Source organism: Homo sapiens, chromosome 16 (assembly GCF_000001405.40).
Source record: "Homo sapiens chromosome 16, GRCh38.p14 Primary Assembly".
NCBI lineage: Eukaryota > Metazoa > Chordata > Mammalia > Primates > Hominidae > Homo > Homo sapiens.
Window position 1 is genome coordinate 57,839,700 of NC_000016.10, and position 23,497 is coordinate 57,863,196.

A 23,497-nucleotide genomic window follows, 5' to 3' on the forward strand; every position below is an offset into this window, starting at 1 on the left:
AAAATGCAGGCATTTTGGCTAACATTATTATTCATTTCTTTACATTTGAATGTAATAAACGTGTCAGGTTTATTTATCTGAACTTAAATCTAAGTTTTAGTGATTTTTTCCCCCCTGGATCTAAAATTCCATCATTCTTGAGCAACTCATATTTGTCAATTTGACAGCTTCTCCACTATTTTAAGCACTTTCCTTTTCATCACCATCCATTTCCATTAACAACTCCACTCTCCGCTGCCTAACAGACTCCTGGAACTGACTCCTCAAATTGGATTGTCCCCTCGCTGGCCCATTCCTCCCCAGCCTTCCCAGTCTCAGTAAATGGCCACAGTTGCTCTAGTCAGAAAACCTAGCTTAGCCAGCCAAGGTGGCTCACACCTATAATCCCAGCACTTTGAGAGGCCAAGGTAGGCGGATCACCTGAGGTCAGCAGTTCAAGACCAGCCTGGCCAACATAGCAAAACCTCGTCTCTACTAACAATACAAAAATTAACCAGGCGTGGTGGCGCGCACCTGTAATTCCAGCTGCTCAGGAGGCTGAGGCAGAAATATTGCTTGAACCCGGGAGGTGGAGGTTGCAGTGAGCTGAGATCGAGCCACTGAACTCCAGCCTGAGTGACAGAGCAAGACTCTGTCTCGAAAACAAACAAAAACCTAGCTTGCCAGACACAGTGGCTCATCCTATAATTCCAGCTACTAGGAAGGATCCTTGAGCCCAGGAGTCAAGACTAGCCAGGGCAACATAGCAAGACCCTGTCTGTAAAAAAATAAAAGTTAAAGGCTGAGCACGGTGGCTCATGCCTGTAATCCCAGCACTTTGAGAGGCCAAGGTGGGCAGATCACCTGAGGTCGGGAGTTCGAGACCAGACTGGCCAACGTGGGGAAACCCCGTCTCTACTAAAAATACAAAATTAGCCGGCCATGGTGGCGCATGGCTGTAATCCCAGCTACTCGGGAGGCTGAGGCAGGAGAATCACTTGAACCCAGGAGGCAGAGGTTGTAGCTAGCCGAGATCTCGCCACCGCACTCCAGCCTGGGCAACAAGAGCGAAACTCTGTCTCAAAAAAAAAAAAAAAAAAGTTAAAATAAACCTAGCACAGGTTCTCTCCCTCCTCACCCCAGCTGTCACCAAGTCAAATGGGTTCTACACGCAAGACAATGTCAAACCTGGCCACCTCCCACCTTTGTCCCAGATGTCTTTGGAAGCCTCACCAGCAGATACTAGGCTTCCTGTGTCCACACTCCGGCTTTCTGGCGATCCTCCTCCACCAGGCAGCCAGAGGGACCTTGTGAAGGCATAGCTTCAACCCTGTCACGTTCTGCAGTCTCTTCTTCAGCAAATATTTGCACACCTACTCTGGACAGTGCTGTTCTAGCCCTTGCTGGACCTTGCGTTATCAGCAGAGACGGAACAATAGACGAAAATCAAAGAGTGAAATTTAGAGTGTGATAGAGGACCGTAACAGTGGTGGAAAAAAATAATTCAAAGGAGGACATGGAGGGATGGGTGGCTGAATTTTTTCCAGCTCTTGAAGTAGGGAGTTGTAATTTCTAGTAGGGTGGTCAAGGAAGGCCCCACTGAAAGGGGCATCTGAGACCTGAAGGAGGTAGGGAAGTGATCCACAAAACACCCAGAAGAGCTGCCACCCTCCTAAAGTTCCCTATTACATTAAAATGAAACCCAGGCCAGGCGCAGTGGCTCACGCCTGTAATCCCAGCACCTTGGGAGGTTGAGGTGGGTAGATCACTTGAGGCCAGGAGTTTGAGACCAGCCTGGGCAACATGGTGAAACCCCATCTCCATTAAAAATACAAAAAATTAGCCAGGCCTGGTGGCATGTGCCTGTAAACCCAGCTGCTTGGGAGGCCGAGGCAGGAGAATTGTTTGAAGCCGGGAGGTGGAGGTTGCAGTGATCTGAGATCGTGCCACTGCACTCCAGCCTGGGGGACAGAGCGAGACTGTCTCAAAAACAAAAACAACAACAACAAAACCCAGAATGAAACCCAAACTCTTTCCCATCGCCCATGAGACCTTATAGCATTTGCCAAGGGCCTCTCAAATGCGCGTTGCCCTCAGTTCCAGCTCTCCAGCTGCATGAGTCTCTTGTGTCTGTCACCATGCCAGGCTCTCCCCATTTCAAGGTCTTGGCTCTGGCTGTCCCCCTGTCTGGGACACCCCATCCACCCCCCACACACCCCATCCCCACCTCCTCCCCTCTTCTCAAGGGTGGCTCCTGTCTTTCTACTCTTAGGCCTTAAAAATGTCACTTCCTCGGAGAGGCCTTCCCTGACCATCCCCACCGGCCATCTCCTGCCTTCTCCCTGCGTTTGAATCTCCTCATGCTTCCTTAGCCAGGCATGGTGATGTGCACCTGTAATAGGTCCCAGCTACTTGAGAGGCTGAGTCAGGAGAATTGCTTGAACCTGGGAGGTGGAGGTTGCCGTGAGCTGAGATCGTGCCACTGCACTCCAGCCTGGGCAACAGAGCGAGACTCCGTCTCAAAAAAAAAAATAAAAAATCTCCTCATGCTTCTTAGCGCTGTCTGAAATGATCTTGTTCACTAACTGCCTCCCCCACCTGGAATGCAAGCTCCAGGGGGTCAGAAATGTGCTTGCTGGGCCAGGGTCAGAGCCCCCTGTGTCTGGAACGGTATGGAGTGGACATTCACTGCATATTTATGGAGTGAAGAAATCAATCCATCAAGTAGAACTGGGTAACAAACTTGTAAATAATTCATGCAGTCCAGTGCAGCAGAGCGGGAATCACTCAAAAACTCACATCCAATGCCAGCCTCAGGCTCCACCATTTTATCAACAATGAGAACAACAACAGCAGCAAAAATAATTCAATAATAATTCAATAATTCAATTTCGTAATTCAGTAACACTGTTCAATCAGACTAACAACTTGGGCATTGACTCGAAGCCTCTGTCGTTTGCTTTCTCTTTTCATCCCATAACAACCCATTATTATATTATCTTATTATAACATCCTAATAATAGCCCATTATTCTCATTTTAACAGGTCCAAAAACTGAGGTTTAGGAGATGTTTTGTGGCTGAGATCACACAGCCAGTACAGAGAGAGTTCAGGTCCCAACACTAGGCCACACAATTATGTTCCAATTCCTCTAAATAAATATCATAGAGCAGCCGGGCACAGTGGCTCATGCCTGCAATCCCAGCACTTTGGGAGGCCAGGGCAGGAAGATCGCCTGAGGGACAGGAGTTTGAGACCAGCTTGGCCAACAAGGTGAAACCCCGTCTCTACTAAAAATATAAAAATTAGCCAGGCATGGTGGTGCAAGCCTGTAATCCCAGCTACTCGGGAGGCTGAGGCATAAGAATTGTTTGAACCCAGGAGGCAGAGGTTACAGTGAGCCGAGATCACACCATTGCACTCTAGCCTGGGCAATAAGAGTGAAATTCTGTCTCAAAAAATATATATATAAATATAAATGTAAATAAATAAATATCATACAGCACCTACTCTGTGCCAGGAACTGTGTATAAAAGAATCTCACAGGCAAATCAGGGCAAAATATTTCAGACAAAAGGATTTTCAATTAATTCTGAACCACTTGACAGAGATTCAACCATGAGACAGTCAGAATATGAACACTGACCACCTTTATTGGGTACTTCCTGCCAACAAGGCCTTGGACCGCACACTTCACCTGCTTTGCCTCATCACTACTTACTGTTGGCCCATTTCACAAAGGAGGAAACTGAGATACAGGCTGGTCCAGTGACTTGCTCAAGGCCCTTGCCAGGAACTGATGGCGCTGGGTTCTGATGCCCTGGTGCCCTGGCTGCATAGACACTCATCATTAGAAAAATGGGGTGGTCAGCCTGTAATCCCAGAACCTTAGGAGGCTGAGACAGGAGGATCACTTGAGCCCAGGAGTTCAAGACTAGCCTGGGCAACACAGCAAGATCCCATCTCTACCAAAATAAGACACAAACAAACAAAATCCCTGGTGCTCAGTGAGTCAGATCTGGGCAGTTGGCAGGAGCTTCTGAGGGTATAGAAAATACTGGAAATACCTAAATTGAATACCTTTAGACATGTTTGCAAGGCCTAAAGGAAAACATCTATACTCCACCCTGGAGATGTTTCTTTCCTTGGCCGGGCATGGTGGCTCACGCTCATAATCCCAGCACTTTGGGAGGCCAAGGTGGGCAGATCATTTGAGGTCAGGAGTTCCAGACCAGCCTGGCCAACATGGTAAAACCCTGTCTCTACTAAAAATACAATAATTAGTTGGGCATGGTGGTGCACGCCTGTAATCCCAGCTACTTGGGAGGCTGAGGCAGGAGAATTGCTTGAACTTGAGAGATGAAGGTTGCTGTGAGCAAAGATTGCACCACTGCACTCCAGCCTGGGCGACAGAGTGAGAATCCATCTCAAAAAAAAAAAGAAGTTTCTTTCCTTGATCTAAAGGCAGCGTAGGCTGGACGCGGTGGCTCATGCCTGTAATCCCAGCACTTTGGGAGGCTGAGACAGGAGGATCATGAGGTCGGAGTTCAAGACCAGCCTGGCCAACATGGGGAAGCCCCATCTCTACTAAAAATACAAAAATTAGCTAGGCATGGTGGCAGGCGCCTGTAATCCCAGCTACTCGGGAGGGTGAGGCAGGAAAATTGCTTGAACCCGGGAGGCGGAGGTTGCAGTGAGCCGAGATCTTGCCATTGCACTTCAGCTTTGGGCGACAGAGCAAGACTCAGTCTCAGGGAAAAAAAAAAAAAAAAAAAGGCAGCGTAAACCTATTGGCAAGGTCTGGTGAAGGACCCTTACCTGAAAGCCATAGCCTCGTGTCTCTGAGATCAGGATGCACCCTGGGGAGGGGGATTGGAGTTCAGCAAGAATATCTTTGTTGGAGGTGCTGGAGCTGCGCCAGTGCCAGCCGGGGGCCTCCTCCTGGCCTGTGCTGGGGTCTCTGTCCCACTCTCCCCACCGCCCCCTCCGCAGGCCCCAGGTGTTTGAACAGAGCCATACCAGGGCTGGAACTACAAACATGGTAGTCTGCAGCCCGTCTCGCTCTGACAGTCTATGGGAGCACAGTCTTCTATGCTGGAGCCCACAGCAGCCTGTGCCCTGGAATTTTCTGCTTGGTTCACCAATTCCTAGACAGACCCTGCAGCGGCTGTGGTGTTGAACAAGGCAGGCATTCAGTCATTAGTTCAGCAATTAAAAGGCTTAGAGGACAGGATCTTCAGCTTCCAGGAACTGACCCAGGTCACCAGCAAGGTTCTTGAAATGTTACCCTTTGGGTTCTTTAGCCAGTGCGTCTCCTCTGCAGCCCATATGGTCTTGAGAAGAATTAGAATTTTTATAGCAGGGAGACAAAAATTAAGTGACCTAGGCTCCTGATATCCAAGTGGGCATTCAAGATGTCCACGCTGGAACTTTGATTTTCATTCCCCACAAATCTGGTTTCTCCTTCAGCCTTCTCATCCCAGCTAATAGCAACTGCATCCTTTCAGTGACTCCGTGCAAACCCTGCAGGTGCAGCCTTCATGTTACAACTCCTGCCGGCTCTACCTTCAAATATTATCCAGAATCTGTCCACTTCTCACCACTGCCAGTGCCCCCACCATCCCTCCCTGGACTCTTGCGATAGTCCTTGACCAGCTGCAATCACCTCGCAACTCAGCGGCCTGACTGATCTTGTTAAAACTGAAGCCAATCACGTCACTCATCTGCTCAAAGCCGTCTGTGGCCCCCATATCGCTTCAAGTGAAAACCAAGGTTCTGCAGTGGCCCTCAAGCCCTCTCTGCTCCAAACCTCCTATCCCTCCCAACACCTTTGCTCTGCTCCTAAAATCTGCCAGACAGCCTCAGGGCCTTTGCGTGGGTTCTTCCACCTCGGACATTCTTTCCCCAAATATCCACAGGGCTCTCTCCCTCCCTCCACACCTGCTCAGGCAGGTGTTCCTCAAGGAGACTCTCCCTGATCTCCTTAGTTAAAATCACAACTCACTCCTCATCTTCCACCTCTGCCCCAAGCTCTTTGCACCCCTTACTCTGCTGTTGGATTGGTTGATTGGTTTTTGTTTTTTAGTCTTCGCACTTAACACCTTCCAACAGACAAAATGTTGATGTATTTTTGTGCCTGTTATTTATTCCCTGTTTTCCTCTGTGAGGGAGAGTCACCTCTGAGAGGTGAAGATCTTTTTCTACATTGTTTGCCAGTGTCTCCTGGGCACTGGTAGAGTTTAAACTTACAGAGGGTTCTTTAAGATTTGTGAAAGGAAGGGGCTGCCCCAGAGCTGTGGGGTTTTTGTCAAAACAAAGCTGAGAAAGAGAACAGAGGAAATGCATTTGACTTCCCTGCCCCTCAGGAGATGAGATGAGGGAAGAGTAGACAAGGTGAGGGGCCTGGAGACCCAACCCTTTCATGCCAAGACACTTATAAGCCTGTGCCCACTCCCTCCCCACCAGAGCAGGAAGAGGCTGGACCTCCAGGGGCTGGTGATGGCCTGGTGGAGGGAGAACTCCACCCCTCTCCCTGGGTGGGGCTGGGCAGTAGAGGACCACACCCCTGGGTCCTTTGCTGCCCAGAGAGCACTATGGGGCTCCTGGTTCCAGACCTAAAGCCAGGCCGGGAGAAGCAGACAAAGCCATGAGATACACATCTTTTCCCTACCTGTGGCCTCCCGGCTGCCTCCAACCTGGACACAGGGCTTTGCAGTCTTTCTAAATGAGAATCCTGATGGCTGAAGAAGGCGGATGGTGGAGGGTGACCTAACAGAAGAGGGCTTGCGGCAGACACTGGAATGCGATGTTCTGCTGGGAAACCCAGCCACCTGGGCGGAGATGCCTGGAAGGCGCTGTTCAGCCCAGCAGGTGCAAATTCTCATGTCAAACCCTTTAAGGAAGCTGCTCGCAGACAGCCCATCCTCCCTCCTTTCTCCCCCACTCCATCTGGTTGTTAACGAGAATGAGAAAAGCAGATTAGAAGTGTCACCCCTGCAGCTGGTTCAAGGCTGTACAACCGATCCACTTTCGTTTCATTCTGATAGGTACAATTTCTTTCCCAAACAAACACTCACGTATTGGGTTTTGAGAAACCTTCTACTTATATGAATTTCATGAGCTTGACTGTGACCTGGGATAAGTCTTTATGAGCAAAACAAAGAAATGACCTATAAAAAGAAGTGTGTTTTCCTTTGTGATTCTGTGGCATAAGAAATATATTTAGGCCTGGTGCAGTGGCCCAAGCCTGTAATCCCAACACTTCAGGAGGCCAAGGTGGGCAGACCACTTGAGGCCAGGATTTCGAGACCAGCCTAGCCAACAAGGTGAAACCCCATCTCTACTAAAAATGCAAAAATTAGCCACGTGTGCTGGCGAACACCTGTAATCTCAGCTACTCTGGGGGCTGAGGCATGAGAATCTCTTGAACACGGGAGGCGGGGGTTACAGTGAGCCAGATGGCACCACTGCATTCCAGCCTGAGGTGACAGAGCAATGAATCTGTGAAGGAAGGAGGGAAGGAAGGAAGGAAGGAAGGAAGGAAGGAAGGAAGGAAGGAAGGAAGGAAGGAAGGAAGGAAGGAAGGAAGGAAGGGAAGGGAGGGAGGGAGAGAGGGCGGGGAGGGAGGGAGGGAGGGAGAGGTGGCTCACACCTGTAATCCCAGCACTTTGGGAGGCTGAGGTGGAAGGCTTGCTTGAGCCCAGGAGTTCGAGACCAGCCTGGGCAACACAGTAAAAATCCTGTGTCTATAAACAATAAAAAGTAATTTTGAAAAAATTGTAGGACATGCAGCTGGTGTCACAGAGAATTTATTGGTGTGGGGAAGAAACAACACACATTTGGTGTTAGGAGTGTTCCATGGATAGAAAAAGATTAGAGATTCCACAAATTGATTCTGTCAATTTGTGGAATTGACACAAACACACAGGGCTGCCCAATTTTCTGTTATAAGCAGGGGAGGGGAGTCCTGAAAGAGATTTGCAGATGATATAAATGCGTAAGAGAACATTGAGACTTTTCTTTCCCTTTGGCCTTATTGTTCAAGAATATATTTTTAGATTAAGTCCAGATGCCAGATGAATTTGTGTGTGTGTGTGTGTGTGTGTGTGTGTGTGTGTGTGTGTGTGAGACCGAGTCTCACTCTGTTGCCCAGGCTGGAATGCAGTGGCACAATCTCAGCTCGCTGCAACCTCTGCCTCCGAGATTCAAGCAATTCTTGTGCCTCAGCCTCCCAAGTAGCTGGGGACACAGGCGCACCCCACCACATCTGGCTAATTTTTGTATTTTTGATAGAGATGGGGTTTCACCATGTTGGCCAGGTGTGTCTTGAAATCCTGACCTCAAGTGATCCACCTGCCGCAGCCTTCTAAAGTACTGGCATTACAGGCGTGGGCCACCATGCTTGGCCTGGATGCCAGAAGAGTTATTTGCAAAACAATTTTTAAATACTTTTAAATACTTTGTAAAGAAGCCAAAGTTTTATTGTTGTTATTTTCTGTCTAATGCCTTGAAGTTGCCATACATTTTGGAGATTCTATTAAAGCTATAAGCTCGTTTTGTTCAGATGAACATTCATTTGTTTTTATGATCAAGCAAACAGAGAGTGGTTTAACTGGCTTAAGAAGGACCACACAGAAAGCCGAAATTCAGGACCAGCATTGAGATGCCAGCATGGAGGCCCCGTGTGGTGGCTCATCCCAGAACTTTGGGAGGCCGAGGCAGGAGGATTGCTTGAGGTCAGGAGTTCCAGACCAGCCTGCACAGCATAGCCAGATCCCATCTCTACAAAAAATTCTAAAAATTAGCTGGGCGTTGTGGTGCATGCCTGTAGTCCTAGCTATTGGGAAGGCTGAATCCAGAGGATCCCTTGAGCCCATGAATTTGAGGCTGCAGTGAGCTGTGACTGAGCCACTGCCACTCCAGCCTGATAGACAGAATAAGACCTGTCTCAAAAAATTAAAATTAAAAGACGCCCATATGAAGCTAATCTCCGATTCTGTGTGCAGACTGCTAAAATGTCTCTCTTGCTAAAAGGAAGCCCTAAGAATGGCTACACAGGGTTTTTAACAAAAAGATTTAGCATGTCTTAGGACTTAATGCATGTGCCACCTTCAGGCAGCCATAACAAAAAACTAGAGGTTTTCTCTAAATAAATACATAAAAATAAGGAATTTAGATTCTCTGGCAACTGTGACCTTAAACTTTGTTTTCAAGGTGAAAAATATTCACATAAAATTAAGCTTTATGAGAACATTTCTATGATGATTTAATTTCTTCTCTCTTCCCCGGTTCCACTTAAACACTAATCCTAGAATCCTAAAACTGTTCTTCCTGTAGATGTCATGGTAAGTACCACACTTTTTCTGTGCTTTTCCATAAGCAGAGAACAATAGTAGCTGAGTGATCAGACAGTACAGAGATTAACAGAGGAGTTAGTAATAAGCTTTAGAGGTTTATATCTGTGGCTCTACTCGTCTAAATTTAAGCCTTTTTGGGGACAGAAACCCAGTTAACCAATTTAAGGCAACTACCATCACAGTTTCTTGATAATTGGTGATCTCAGTAGAAAGGGTACGTTGTAAATAAACAAAGCAATGAAACCCAGATTTCATTCATCAATGTATCCCCTACAGACCAGTTTAATGGAGATAAATTACCTTGTAGATAATGACAATGCAAACTTAACACACATCAGATCGATTGAGACAAACTGCTGTGTGTGTGTATCTGTGACGGCCTTTACTTTGTTATTACTGATTTAATTATTTTAAAACCCTTATTAAGTGCTCTGTGGGTTCATAGTGGCACTTCTCTAAAAATCTGAAAGTCAATATAGTCTTTTAAACTACAGAGTTGGTGCCCTTTGTCTTATGAAGGGAAGGAGAACGTAAACTCACTGCCTCTAGAAGATAGGGGTAGAGGTGTTTAGAAAATAGTTAATGGGGCCAGGTGTGGTGGCTGATGCCTGTAATTCCAGCACTTTGGGAGGCCGAGGCAGGCAGATCATCTGAGGTCTGGAGTTCAAGACCAGCCTGGCCAGCATGATAAAACCCCATCTCTACTAAAAATACAAAAATTAGCCGGGTGTGGTGGTGTGTGCCTGTAATCCCAGCTACTTGGGAGGCTGAGGCAGGAGAATCACTTGCACCTGGAATGTGGAGGTTGCAGTGAGCCGAGATCATGCCACTGCACTCCAGCCTGGGCAACAAGAGCAAAACTCCATCTCAACAACAACAAAAAATAGTTAATGGGCCGGGTGCAGAGGCTTCCACCTGTAATCCTAGTAATTTGGGAGGCTTGAGGGGAATCAGCCTCGAAAAGTAGGGGAATCACTTGAGGCCAGGAGTTTGAGGCTGTAGTGAGCTATAATCGTGCCATTACACTTCAGCCTGGGTGACAGAGCAAGACCCTTTCTCTAAAAAATAAATAGTAATAATAAAAGCCAGGTGTGGTGGCTCATGCCTATAATCTTAACACCTTGAGAGACTGAGGCGGGAGAATTGCTTGAGCCCAGAAGTTCCAGACCACCAGCCTGGGCAACATAGCGAGACCCTGTCTCTACAAAAAATTGAAAAATTAGCCGGGCATGGTGGCATGCACCTGTAGTCCCAGCTATTCAGGAGGCTGAGACAGGAGGATTGCTTGAGCCCAGGAATTTGAGGCTGCAGTGAGCCATGATTGAGCCACTGGACTCCAGCCTGGGGGAGAGAGTGAGACCCTGTCACACACAAACAAAATAATATAATACAATAATAATAATAATAAATAAAAATAAATTTTAAAAAGGGTTTTTTTTTTTTTTTTTTTTTTTTGAGATGGAGTCTCACTCACTCTTTTGCCCAGGCTGGAATGAAGTGGCCCTATCTCAGCTCACTAAAACCTCCATCCACCAGGTTCAAGCGATTCTCCTGCCTCAGCCTCCCAAATAGCTGGGATTACAGGCGCCTGCCACCATGCCCGGCTAATTTTTGTATTTTTAGTACAGATGGGGTCTTGCCATGTTGGCCAGGCTGGTCTCGAACTCCCGACCTCAGGTGACCCACCCGCCTCGGCCTCCCAAAGTGCTAGTATTACAGGAGTGAGCCGCTGTGCCCAGCCACAAAAATGGGTCTTTTTCATACATTGTACGGAGTTCTCCGCAGGCCCTTCCAGTGCTTCAGCTGTGGGAAGTTTTCCTGTGTTATTTCATTGATATTCTCTGCCCTTTCTTTGTTCTCTCTGGAATTCTTTGAAATTGCTGATTTGATTTCAACTTCTTTCCTTCCCTCCCTCCTTCCTTCCTTCCTTCCTTCCTTCCTTCCTTCCTTCCTTCCTTCCTTCCCTCCCTCCCTCCTTTCCTTCCTTCCTTTTCTTGACACGATCTTGCTTTGTTGCCCAGACTGGAGTGTAGTTGTGTGATCACCGCTCACTGCAGCCTCAAGCTCCTAGGCTCCAGGCATCCTCCCACCTCAGCCTCCTGAGTAGCCAGGATTACAGGAGTGTGTCACCACACCCGGCTAATGTTTTTTTAATGTTTTGTAGAGACGGGGGTCTCATTATGTTGCCCAGGCTGGTCTCAAACTCCTGGTCTCAAGTGATCCTCCTGCCTTGGCCTTCCAAAGTGTTAGGATGACCAGTGTGAGCCACCATGCATGGCCTATTATTTTTCATCTCTCTCTGTTTGTTCTAGTTCCTGGAAAATTTCCTCAACTTCATCTTCCAATCCACTTACTGATTTTTCCCCTCATATTAAAAACACATAGATTTTTCTTGTGTTTATTTTATTTTATTTTTCCTTATCCCTGGTAATATCTGGAGATTGTCTTGGTTTTGAATATTCATTTATTCAATAGCATTTCAAGAGTGTAATTGCCTCTTGTCTCTGGAACTATTATAATATTCGTTCGTTCATTCTTTTTTTTTTTTTTGAGGCAGAGTCTCGCTCTGTTGCCAAGGCTGGAGTGCAGTGGCACAATCCCGACTCACTGCAACCTCCGCCTTCCAGGTTCAAGTGATTCTCCTGCCTCAGCCTCCTGAGTAGCTGGGATTACAGGCCTGCACCACCACACCCGGCTAATTTTTGTTGTTGTTGTTGTTTTCGAGATGGTAGTCTCGCACTGTCGCCTGGGCTGGAGTGCAATGGTGCAATCTTGGCTCACTGCAACCTCTGCCTCCCAGGTTCACGCGATTCTCCTGCCTCAGCCTCCTGAGTAGCTGGGATTACAGGCATGTACCACCACACTGGCTAATTTTTTTGTATTTTTAGTAGAGATGGGGTTTCTCCATGTTGGCCAGGCTGGTCTCAAACCCCTGACCACAAGTGATCCTCTCTCCTCGGCCTCCCAAAATTCTGGGATTACAAGTGTGAGCCACCACACCCAGCTCATTCTTTCTTTTTTATTTCTTCCTTTCTTTCTTTCCCTAGATTGTCTATTTTCTTTGTCTCTTTTTTCCTGCTTATTTTATTTTGGTCTCACTTTTATGTTAGAGACAAACTGTGAGATTATCCTTGGCTTTCTGTTCATATTTAAGATGAGACACTAACAGTCAGTCGGACCTGTATGTGGGGGTGGAGCTTGTGACTGGAGGACTTTGCTGCAGGGTGATGGACCCGGGCCTTGGAGCACTCATTGGAGGGTCCTCATTGTCAGTTTTATTAGTTCCTTTCTCCAGAGCTGATTTGTTTCCCCAGAAGTGAATCACCCCACCTCCTGCCTCATCATCAGCTGTAACCCTGGCTGCCAATATTCTGAGACCTAAGAGAAGGCAGGAGGCCAGAGGTCTCAGTGTTCTGAGTGAGTTTCACATCATCCCTGGGTTTCGGGTGCGGTGCTTCCTCAGCTCTCACCTCTGGGCCAGGTGTTCCAAAATCCAGATTCCTTAACACCTTTCGTCTACTGTTTTTCCTCTTCTATTATCTTTATCCTTATGGATTTTTACTTTTTAAATCCTTTACAATCATTTCATTTGGGTTCAGGAAGGGATGGAAATGAATGCAAATATTCCGTCTTCAACTAGAAGTCCTATACATTAATATTTGACTTCAAGAGGTTTAGTTCAAAGCACATTTAGATTAGGAGTAAAAATTGTTCTGTAAGCTCCCGTGAGCCGTGAGCCAAACTAGGGGAGACTAAAGGAACCTATCTAGCGAAAAGATTCTATATTCCACTTAAAGGGATCGAATAGCAATTCTAAGTAGACTGTCAAAAGCTAAATATGTATATTGTAATTCCTAGAGCAATTTTAAAACTTTCCTTGTAGAATTTCTTTTTTGTATAGAAGACATAGAAATTTTTTTGTACAGAACTAAAATTAGTATGCTATAGTATATTTCTTTGTACAGAAGCACTATAGAAAGAAATATATACCTAGAAAATCCTGAAGACAAGGAAAAAATGTTAAAACAATTTTAAAATAAGAAATATAATCAAAACCCAATAGATAAATTAAAATGGTATACTAAAAGTATTCAAATAATCTGCCCGGGCGCGGTGGCTCACTCCTGTAATCCCAGCACTTTGGGAAGATGAGGTGGGCGGATCACCTGAGGTCAGGATTTTGAGACCAGCCTGGCCAACATGGTGAAACCCTGTCACTACTAAAAATACAAATATTAGCTGGGCATGGTGGTACATGCCTGTAGTCCCAGCTACCTGGACGGCTGGGGCAGGAGAATCACTTGAACCCAAGAGGCAGAGGTTGCAGTGAGCTGAGACTGTGCCACTGCACTCCAGCCTGGGTGACAGAACAAGACTCCATCTCAAAATAAAATAAAATAAAATAAAATAAAATAGTATTCAAATTATCTAAGAGAGGATAAGAAAGGGCAAACAGAAACAAAACATAGAGGGAACAAACAGAAAACAATTCATTGGTGAACCCAAATTCGAGCATATTAATAATCACATTAAGTGTAAATAGTCTAAATACACCAACTAAAAGAATTTTTTAATTTTAATTTTAGTTTTTAATTTTGCTTATTTATTTATTTTTGAGACAAAGTCTCGCTCTGTCACCCTGGTTGGAGTGCAATGGCACAATCTCCGCTCACTGCAACCTCCACCTCCCAGGTTCAAGCAATTCTCCTGTCTCAGCCTCCTGAGTAGCTGGGATTACAGGCGTGCGCCACCATACCCGGATAATTTTTTGTATTTTTAGTAGAGATGGGGTTTCACCCTGTTGTCCAGGCTGGTCTCGAACTCCTGACCTGAAGTGATCCACCCTCCTCGGCCTCCCAAAGTGTTGGGATTATAGGTGTGAGCCACTGCACCTGGCCTTAATTTTTATTTGATTATTATTTTTTGAGACTGGGTCTCGTTCTGCCACCCAGGCTGGAGTGCAGTGGTGTGATCATGGCTCAATGTAGCCTCGACTTCCCAGGCTCCAGCAATTCTGCCACCTCAGCCTCCTGAGGAGCTGAGACCACAGGTGCACACCATCACACCCAGCTAATTTTTGTATTTTTGCTAGAAATGGGGTTTCACCATGTTGCTCAGGCTGGTCTCAAACTCTTGAGTTCAAGCGATTCACCTGCCTCACCCTCCCAAAGTGCTGGGATTACAGGTGTGAGCCACCATGCCCAGCTGGAAATTGTTAAATTGAATTTTTGAAAAAACTCAACTACGTGATGTCTAAAAGAAAACCCACTTTATATATAATGATATAGGTATGTTAAAAGTATAAAGATGGGGCCAGGTGCGGTGGCTTTTGCCTATAATCCCAGCACTTTGGGAGGCCAAGGCGGGCAAATCACTTCAGGTCAGGAGTTCGAGACCAGCCTGCCCAACATGGCAAAACCCTGTCTCTACTAAAAATACAAAAATTAGCCAGCCATGGTGGCATGCACCTGTAGTTCCAGCTACTTGGGAGGCTGAGGCAGGAGAATTGCTTGAACCTGGGAGGTGGAGGTTGCAGTGAGTTGAGATCGCGCCACTCCACTCCAGCCTGGGTGACAGAGCAAGACTCCGTCTCAGAAAAAAAAAAAAAAAGAAAGAAAGAAAATTACCACAGATAGAAACGTGAGCAACACCATCAACCAACTGGATCTAACTGACATTCCTGGAATACTCTACCCAAGAACAACAGAATATATTCTTTTCAAGTGCCCTGGGTCATAAACCAAATCTCAACAAATTTAAAAGAAATTAAATCATATAAAGTTATTCCCTGACCACAAAGGAATTAAACTAGAAATCAATAGAAAAATATCTGGAAAATCTCCAAGTGCTTGAAAGTTACACAACACACTTCTAAATAATCCATGAATCAAAGTGGAAGTTTTGGCTGGGCACAGTGGCTGACACCCGTAATCCCAGCACTTTGGGAAGTCAAGGCGGGAGAATCATTTGAGGCTTGGAGTTTGAGATGAGCCTGGGCAACATAGCAAGATGCCATCTCTACAAAGAATAAAAATTAAAAACAAAATAAAAAAGGTGAAAGGGGTTCCCCCTCCCCATTTCTTTCTTTTTTTTTTTTTTTTTTTTTTTTAGACATGGTCTTGCTTTGTTGCCCAGGCTGGAGTGCAATGGTGTCATCTTGGCTCACTGAAACCTTCGCCTCCCAGGTTCAAGTGATTCTCATGCCTCAGCCTCCCAAGTAGCTGGGATTACAGGCGTGCCCCACCACGCCCAGCTAATTTTTGTATTTTTAATAGAAATAGGATTTCACCATATTGGCCAGGCTGGTCTCAAACACTGGGCCTCATGTGATCTACCCGCCTTGGCCTCTCAAAATGTTGGAATTACAGGCATGAGCCACCGCACCCAGCCAAAAAGGTGAAAGTTTGGATAGAAATTGGGAAATATTTAAACTGAATGAAAGCAAAAGTACAACATATAAAAATTTGTGAGATTCAGGTAAAAAGTACTTAGTGGAAAATTTATAACATCAAATGCTTATCTTAGCAGAGAAAAAAAAGCTAAGCTTCCAACCTAAGAAACTATCATAAGAACAAAATAAATTCAAAGCAAGCAGAAGCAAAGAAATAATAACATTAAGAGCAGAACTTGGCCAGGTGTGGTGGCTCAGGCCCGTAATCTCAGCCCTGTGGGAGACCAAGGCAGGTGGATCACTTGAGGTCAGGAGTTCGAGACCAGCCTGGCCAACATGGCAAAACCATGTCTCTACTAAAAATACAAAAATTAGCTCAGCGTGGTGGCACACACCTATAGTCCCAGCTACTAGGGAGGCTGAGGCAGAAGAATCGCTTGAACCTGGGAGGCAGAGGTTGTAGTGAGCCAAGATCATGCCACTGCACTCCAGCCTGGGTGACAGAGTGAGACTCCATCTCAAAAAAAAAAAAAAACCAAAAACAAAAACAAACTAACAATAACAACAAAAAACAAAACATTAAGAGCAGAAATTAATAAATGGTAATGGAAATAAGGCTGGACGCAGGGGGCTCACACCAGTAATCCCAGCACTTTGGGAAGTGGAGGTGGGAGGATCACTTGAGCCCAGGCATTTGAGACCAGCCTGGGCAACATAGCAAGACCCTGTCTGTATATAACTAAAATTTAAATTTAAAAAAAAAGAAAAAAAAAGGCTGGGCACAGTGGCTCATGCCTGTAATCCCAGCACTTTGGGAAGCCAGAATGGATGAATTGCTTCAGCTCAGGAGTTTGAGACCACCCTAGGCAATATGGTGAAACCCTGGCTCTACCAAAAAATACAAAAATTAGCTGGCATGGCAGCACACCCCTGAGGTCCCAGCTATTCAGGAGGGTGAGGTGTGATGATCGCTTGAGCTGGGAGGTGGAAGTTGCAGTGCATTCCAGCCTGGGTGACAGAGACCGTGTCTAAAAAAAGAAAGGAAGGAAGGAAGGAAAGAAGGGAGGGAGGGAGGGAGGGAGGAAGGAAGGGAGGGAAAAAAGAAAGAAAAAGAAAGAAGAAAGAAAAAAAGAAAGAAAGAAAAGAAAAGTGTAAAAAGAATAGAGAAAAACCAATAAACCCAAAAGCTGGTTCTTTGAAACAATCAATTAAAACTGCTAGCTAGACTGACAAAGAAAAAGAGGGAAGACAGAAATTATCAATATCAGAAGGAAAGTGTGTATATAATAAAGACCTCACAGATGTTAAAAGGATAATAAGGAAATATTACAAACAACTCTGTGCACATAAGTTTGACAATTTAGATGAAATGGACCAATTCCTTAAAGCCACAAACTACCAAACCCACCCAAGAAGAAATAGACAGACTAAATAGTCCTATATCCGTTAGAAGAAATTGAATTCATAGCTAAAATCCTTCCAGAAAAGAAAACTTAGGTCCAGATGGTTTTACTGGTGAATTCTACCAAACATTTCAAGAAGATATAACACCAGTAGAACACTTCCTAACTAATTGTGTGAGCCCAGCATTACCCCGATACCAATGAATCTGATGGATTGCTATTTATTAGTAATGCCTACAACTGACCACATACCACAAAATCCACCTGCAAAAGATACAGCAGTGCTTTAATTCCAAGGCAGAGCAGCACAGGCCCACTCTCCCTGTGTGCTGTGTGTCTTCCAAGGATCTTCAGAGAAGGATATATTCTTCTGGTTTCTGCCAACATTCTCAGGAAAGAGTAAACGTGAAGGTCAGGAATCGCCATACCTTAGATACTGGCTTCTTCTTCCTTAGCACAGCCTGTTTCCAAATCTTGTTCCAGGGCCCCTGACTTCAGCTTGGCCTCCTGAGACTCTTAGCCCATTTCTGACTTTCGTAAGTCTCCCAGAACCCCCTAAAACCTTTCTTTTTTTTTTTTTAATTATACTTTAAATTCTGGGATACATGTGCAGAACATGCAGGTTTGTTACATAGGTATACACGTGTCATGGTGGTTTGCTGTACCCATCAACCCGTCATCTCCATTAGGTATTTCTCCTAATGCTATCCCTCCTCTAGCCTCCCACCCCCTAACATGCCCCAGTGTGTGACGTTCCCCTCCCTGTGTCTATGTGTTCTCATTGTTCAACTCCCACTTATGAGTGAGTATGTTCAGTGTTTGGTTTTCTGTTCCTGTGTTAGTTTGCTGAGAATGATGGTTTCCAGCTTCATCCATGTCCCTGCAAAGGACATGAATTCATCCTTTTTTATGGCTACATAGTATTCCATGGTGTATATGTGCCACATTTTCTTTTTCTTTTTTTTTTTATTTCTTTTCTTTCTTTCTTTCTTTCTTTTTTTTTTTTTTTTTTTTTTGAGACAGAGTCTCTCTCTGTCGCCCAGGCTGGAGTGCAGTGGCACGATCTCGGCTCACTGCAACTTCCGCCTCCTGGGTTCAAGTGATTCTCCTGCCTCAGCCTCCCGAGTAGCTGGCACATGCCACCCCACCCGACTAATTTTTGTATTTTTAGTAGAGATGGAGTTTCACCACGTTGGCCAGGCTGGTCTCGATCTCCTGACCTTGTGATCCACCTGCCTCGGCCTCCAAAAGTGCTGGGATTACAGGCGTGAGCCACCGCGCCTGGCCCCACATTTTCTTTATCCAGTCTATCATTGATGGGCATTTGGGTTGTTTCCAAGTCTTTGCTACTATGAATAGTGCTGCAATAGCTTTCTTTTTTTAGCTTTCCTGATACTGAATGAGCAAAGAAATTTAGCTTCTTTTAGTCTCAGAGCCTCATTGCAATCCAAATGTCCATTATATGTCTTCCCGGGCGCAGAGCACTTCGCCCCTAGGAGAAGAAGCCTTCCCTTCCCCGGAACACAGAAATAGCTGAAGCCAATTTTAGTTTTTTGTTTTATTTTTGCTTTTTGTTTTGTTTTGATTTTTCCTTCCTGTCTCATTTCAGTAATAGCAGAAAGATATCCAATATAAGGTCCGTGAACCATTTATAGAAAATTAAAGTGCACCTCATGACAGTCAGTGCACATCATGACAGCCAGCATTGTCTTTCTCTGGAGTTCTGCTCCAGGTGTATAATTGCATGTCATTAACTTTCTATATCTCACCAATTCACAAACATAGCTTTTTTTTTAACCATCCCCTCCCTTAACAAATTTAAATTTACATAATTGAGGCCGGGTGCAGTGGCTCACACCTGTCATCCCAGCACTTTGGGAGGCTGAGGTGGACGGATCACTTGAGGTCAGGAGGTCAAGACCAGCCTGGCCAACACGGTAAAACACTGTTTCTACTAAAAGTACAAAAAAGATTAGCTGAGCGTGGTGGCACGTGCCTGTAATCTCAGCTACTCCGGAGGCTGAGGCACGAGAATAGCTTGAACTGGGGAAATCAATGCCGCAGTGAGCTGAGATCACACCACTGCTTTCCAACCTGGGCAACAGAGCAAGACTGTCTCAAAAAATAAAAAAAAGAAAAGAAAATACATAATTGAATTCACAAAACAAATTTAATTGCTATGTATATGAAGACAGACAAATGCATGGAAAAATATTCTGTGACGTATTCTTTGGTTTTATAACAAAAAAGGCAAACAGACACTTTTACTTTACCTTGTTCTTATCTTAATATAATACATAGGACCATATCCACCTCTTTATTTCAGAAAGTATTTGAACAGTTTCTATTCTGGAGGATTAGAGATTTCCTTGAAGCCATTACTACTCTACAACTTTATACTGTGATGGGCAGCAAAGATAATATTGTGCCTGATCACAAAGAGGAGACACAAGCCTTTCCAGAAATGTCTACGCTAAAGACACACACCAAAAATAAGGAGTTTACTAATCTATATTCTCAGCTTGAGTATTTTGTCTGCTTCCACTTCTAGACTTAAGATAAGGCTACGTTCCTCACCCTCCTTCCTCCAGCACTTGCTTCATGCAGTTAAAATGGAATGAATGACTTTAGTTAAAGCGTCAAAAGAGTCTCACTAAGGAGATACTAATTATAGCTGTTTTCACGAAGCTCTCAGAAACTCCAGCAGGGGGCTCATTCATTCCTGCTGAGCTGCTACAGACCCTAAGATTATGTTGTCTACATCAGCCTTAGAAATTTCCCACAAGCAACACTCCTCCCACACCCGCCGAAGTCATACACCAGTTACAGTGGGAGGGCAACTGTGTAGGTCACTACAAAGGGAACTGTTAGTTTCATCCCCACATTCCCCACAAACATTTAAAATAAAATCAAGGCAGGGTGCAGTGACTCACTTGTAATCCCAGCACTTCGGGAGGCTGAGGCGGGCAGACCACTTGAGGGCAGGAGTTTGAGACCAGCCTGGCCAACATGGTGAAACCTTGTCTCTACTAAAAATACAAAAATTAGCCAGGTGTGGTGGCGCATGCCTGTAGTCCCAGCTATTCAGGAGGCTGAGGAGGAAAGATGGCTTGAACCCAGGAGGCAGAGGTTACAGAGAGTTGAGATCGTGCCACTGCACTCCAGCCTGGGCAACAGAGTGAGACTCTGTCTCAAAAATAAAATAAAATAAAATAAAATAAAATAAAATAAAATAAAATAAAATAAAATAAAATAAAATAAAATAAAAACAAGTGGGGCAGGTGAAGCTCCCTTAATTCCTCCCTAGGAAATTCTATAAAGGCAGAGTACAATTTAGAAAATCAAACTGGGGCTCTGGCTCACGCCTGTAATCCCAGCACTTCGGGAGGCCGAAGCAGGTGGATAACCTGAAGTCAGGAGTTCAAGACCAGCCTGACCAACATGGTGAAACCCCGTCTCTACTAAAAATACAAAATTAGCTGGGCATGGTGGCACATGCCTGTAATCCCAGCTACTCAGGAGGCTAAGGCAGGAGAATCACTTGAACTTGGGAAGAGGAGGTTGCAGTGAGCCAAAGATCATGCATTGCACTCCAGCCTGGGCAACAGGAGTGAAACTCTGTCTCAAAAAAATTTAAAATAAGAAAATCAAACTGGACATCCAAATGATAATTAACTTACATATGTTCATTCATTACCATTGCTGTTACCAGAAAATGGGTCTTGTCCCAGACCCCAAGAGTGGGCTCTTAGATCTCACTTTCTTGGGAAAGAATTCAGGGCAAGTTGCAGAGTATAGCGAAGTTAAGATAGTTTGTTAGAGACTATTACGGAGTAGGGCTTCCTCAGAAAGCAAGAGGAGGAATGCCCCTACTTTAAACTTTTTATTTATTTATTTATTTAGATACAATATCTCCCTCTGTCACCCAGGCTGGAGTACAGTGGCACTATCATGGCTTACTATAGTCTCAACCTCCCAGGCTCCATTGATCCTTCCACTTTAGCCTCCCAAGCAGCTGAGCTAGAGGTACATACCACCACGCCTGGCTAATTTTTATATCTTTTGTAAAGACAGGGTTTTTTCATGTTGGCCAGGCTGGTCTTCAACTCCTGAGCTGAAGAGATCCATCCATCTCAGCCTCCCAAAGTGCTGGGATTACAGGCATGAGCCACCATGCCTGGCCAAGAATGCCTCACCTTAAACATAGTGCTTGCTTATATAGGTTGTTAAGAATAGCATACTTCATTACAAAGACTTTTGATCAGCTTGTGACGGGCTATTAGTATTGTTATTTTCCTATGCTACTACTGATTTCCACAAGAATTTATATGTGTACTATTATCTTTAAAGCAAAACCTATTCTTAAACTAAGAATGCATTTTGTTCTTGAAATATTGGGACGTTTCCATAAGTTCTGGGTCTTTATTTGGTAAGTTAGCATCATTAACTCATCCCCTCAGCCATAAATATCTTGTGACCAACAGTACCAACCCCCTGGAAATGGGGAATGCTACCCAGCAGGATTGGCTTTACCCAGCCTTTATTCAAGATGGAGTCACTCTGGTTAGGACATCTCTGACACTATTAACTTTCTATCTCAATGTCTTTCCTTCTCTCACTGCACAACCTTAGATAATTAATTTGTTAATTATCAATCTCATAAATGAAACAAAGCTGATCAGGGCACATGGCTGGTCTGGATGTTCCCAAGGATGTATTGCAGGTGGCAGGAAGGACCGTGGACCCAGCGTCCACTTTCCCAGGGGTCGATCATAAAACAATTTGCACCATGGTACTGGGGGCCAGAAGGGCAAAAGGGAGCCATGTGATCAAAATAATCTTTCCTAGGCCAGGCGCGGTAGCTCACACCTGTAATCCCAGCATTTTGGGAGGCCAAGGCTGGTGGATCACTTGAGGCCAGGAGTTCAAGACCAGCCTAACAAAACCCTGTCTCTACTAAAAATACAAAAATTAGCCGGGCGTGATGGTGTGCACCTGTAATCCCAGCTACTTGGGAGGCTGTGGCACGAGAATCACTTGAACCTGGGAGGCGGAGTTTGCAGTGAGCCAAGATTGTGCCACTGCACTCCAGCCTGGGCAACAAAGTGAAACTCTGCCTCAAAATAATAATAGTAATAATAATAATCTTTCCAACAGGTAAAATATTTTCAAGCTGAAGGAGTGGAAGTACTGGCTAGTCATATGTATAGATCATCAAAGAACAAGGATGAGCTTCTGGAAGCGAATTCTGGCAGCTGGGCTTACCTGCTACTCCCTGGGAGCTTTTTGACGTCCTTATTATTATTATTATTTAATTTTCTGTCCTGAGTAGCTGGGGCTACAGGTGCTTACCACTACATCTGGCTTTTTTTTTTTTTTTTTTAGTACAGACAGGGTCTTTCCCAGGCTGGTCTCAAACTCTTGAGCTCAAGTGATCCTCCCGCCTCAGCCTCTCAAAGTGCTGGGATTATAGGTGTGAGCCACCTTGCCTGGCTGAGATTTCATCAAGCTACTTAGAACATCGTGCAACTTAGAATTCATGAATTGTTTATTTCTGGAATTTTCCATTTAATATTTTTGGACCTTGGTTGACCGAGGGTTACTGAAACCTCAGAAAGCAAAACTGTGGATAAGGGAGGATTACTATACTGCCATTAAGTTGTATTTTAAAAATAATTTCAAAAATTGTATTCAAGTAATATGTGTATTCAATTAAAATTTCATCCCTTCAATGTTTTATAAGTAATTCAAATACCAGAGTGGTAACCATCTTCTAAGAATATTAGCTACAATCCCAATCACTGTTTTTCAAAAAGATGTTGTCAGTCCTGCTTCTGAAATTTCTCTCCAACAGGCCTCCTCCTCCCATTCCCACTGCCCCAACCCAGCCAGGCCCTTACCTTGCACTGCTCCGGGACACCAGCCTCCAATCTGAGGGTTTCCTGGTGTCTGGGCTTCCATGCAGCTGTCAGAGTGTTCTTCCTGAAAAGAAACTCCATCTGTGCCATTTTCCGAGCAATACGTTTTACTGGGTTGTCCTGTAGCCTTCAGGATAAAGTACAAATTCCTGAACATGACACCTCGGATGAAGTCCGTCCCCTCCTTCCCAGATTACCACCTGCCCCTTTGACCCTGCCCTTTGGTCATCAGCCACAATCAGCTGCTGTCTCCACCAAGCCTCACCAGCTCTCCAAGCCTTCACCCATGATGCTGTCTGCCTGGACTGCCCTCCCTCCCATTCCTCTGCCTACAAGATCCGATATGCGCTTCAGCCTCCAATGTTAGCTCACCAAAATCTTCCCTTTGAATTATGAATGCAGCTGGCTGCAAACTCCTCCAAGTGACCAGAGTGTCCTATAATCACGTCT

General features: G+C 45.1%; 1 protein-coding gene across 8 annotated transcripts in view, besides 2 other annotated features; it reads right to left on the minus strand.

The window, feature by feature from the left end:
• Positions 1 to 23,159, minus strand: part of KIFC3 (kinesin family member C3) — a 104,642-nt gene extending 81,483 nt beyond the window's left edge. For 6 of the 8 annotated variants that reach the window (XM_047434085.1, XM_011523075.2, XM_011523076.2 and 3 more), the window contains exon 1: positions 23,030 to 23,159. In XM_047434085.1, the coding sequence (XP_047290041.1) occupies positions 23,030 to 23,137 (108 nt within the window). In that variant the 5' untranslated portion in view covers positions 23,138 to 23,159. Of the gene's footprint in view, positions 1 to 6,649; positions 6,867 to 23,029 lie in introns of those variants that run through there. The other 2 variants (XM_047434084.1, XM_047434080.1) reach the window with 1 other exon arrangement.
• Positions 6,064 to 6,947: an enhancer, noted in NCBI's record as "OCT4-NANOG-H3K27ac-H3K4me1 hESC enhancer chr16:57879667-57880550 (GRCh37/hg19 assembly coordinates)". NCBI's record gives its function as "activates a minimal SCP1, AML or CMV promoter by ChIP-STARR-seq in naive H9 embryonic stem cells {active_cell/tissue: H9 hESC(naive)}" and the evidence as "EXISTENCE:reporter gene assay evidence [ECO:0000049][PMID:30033119]".
• Positions 6,948 to 7,829: an enhancer, noted in NCBI's record as "OCT4-NANOG-H3K27ac-H3K4me1 hESC enhancer chr16:57880551-57881432 (GRCh37/hg19 assembly coordinates)". NCBI's record gives its function as "activates a minimal SCP1, AML or CMV promoter by ChIP-STARR-seq in naive H9 embryonic stem cells {active_cell/tissue: H9 hESC(naive)}" and the evidence as "EXISTENCE:reporter gene assay evidence [ECO:0000049][PMID:30033119]".
• Positions 23,160 to 23,497: the final 338 nt, after the last annotated feature.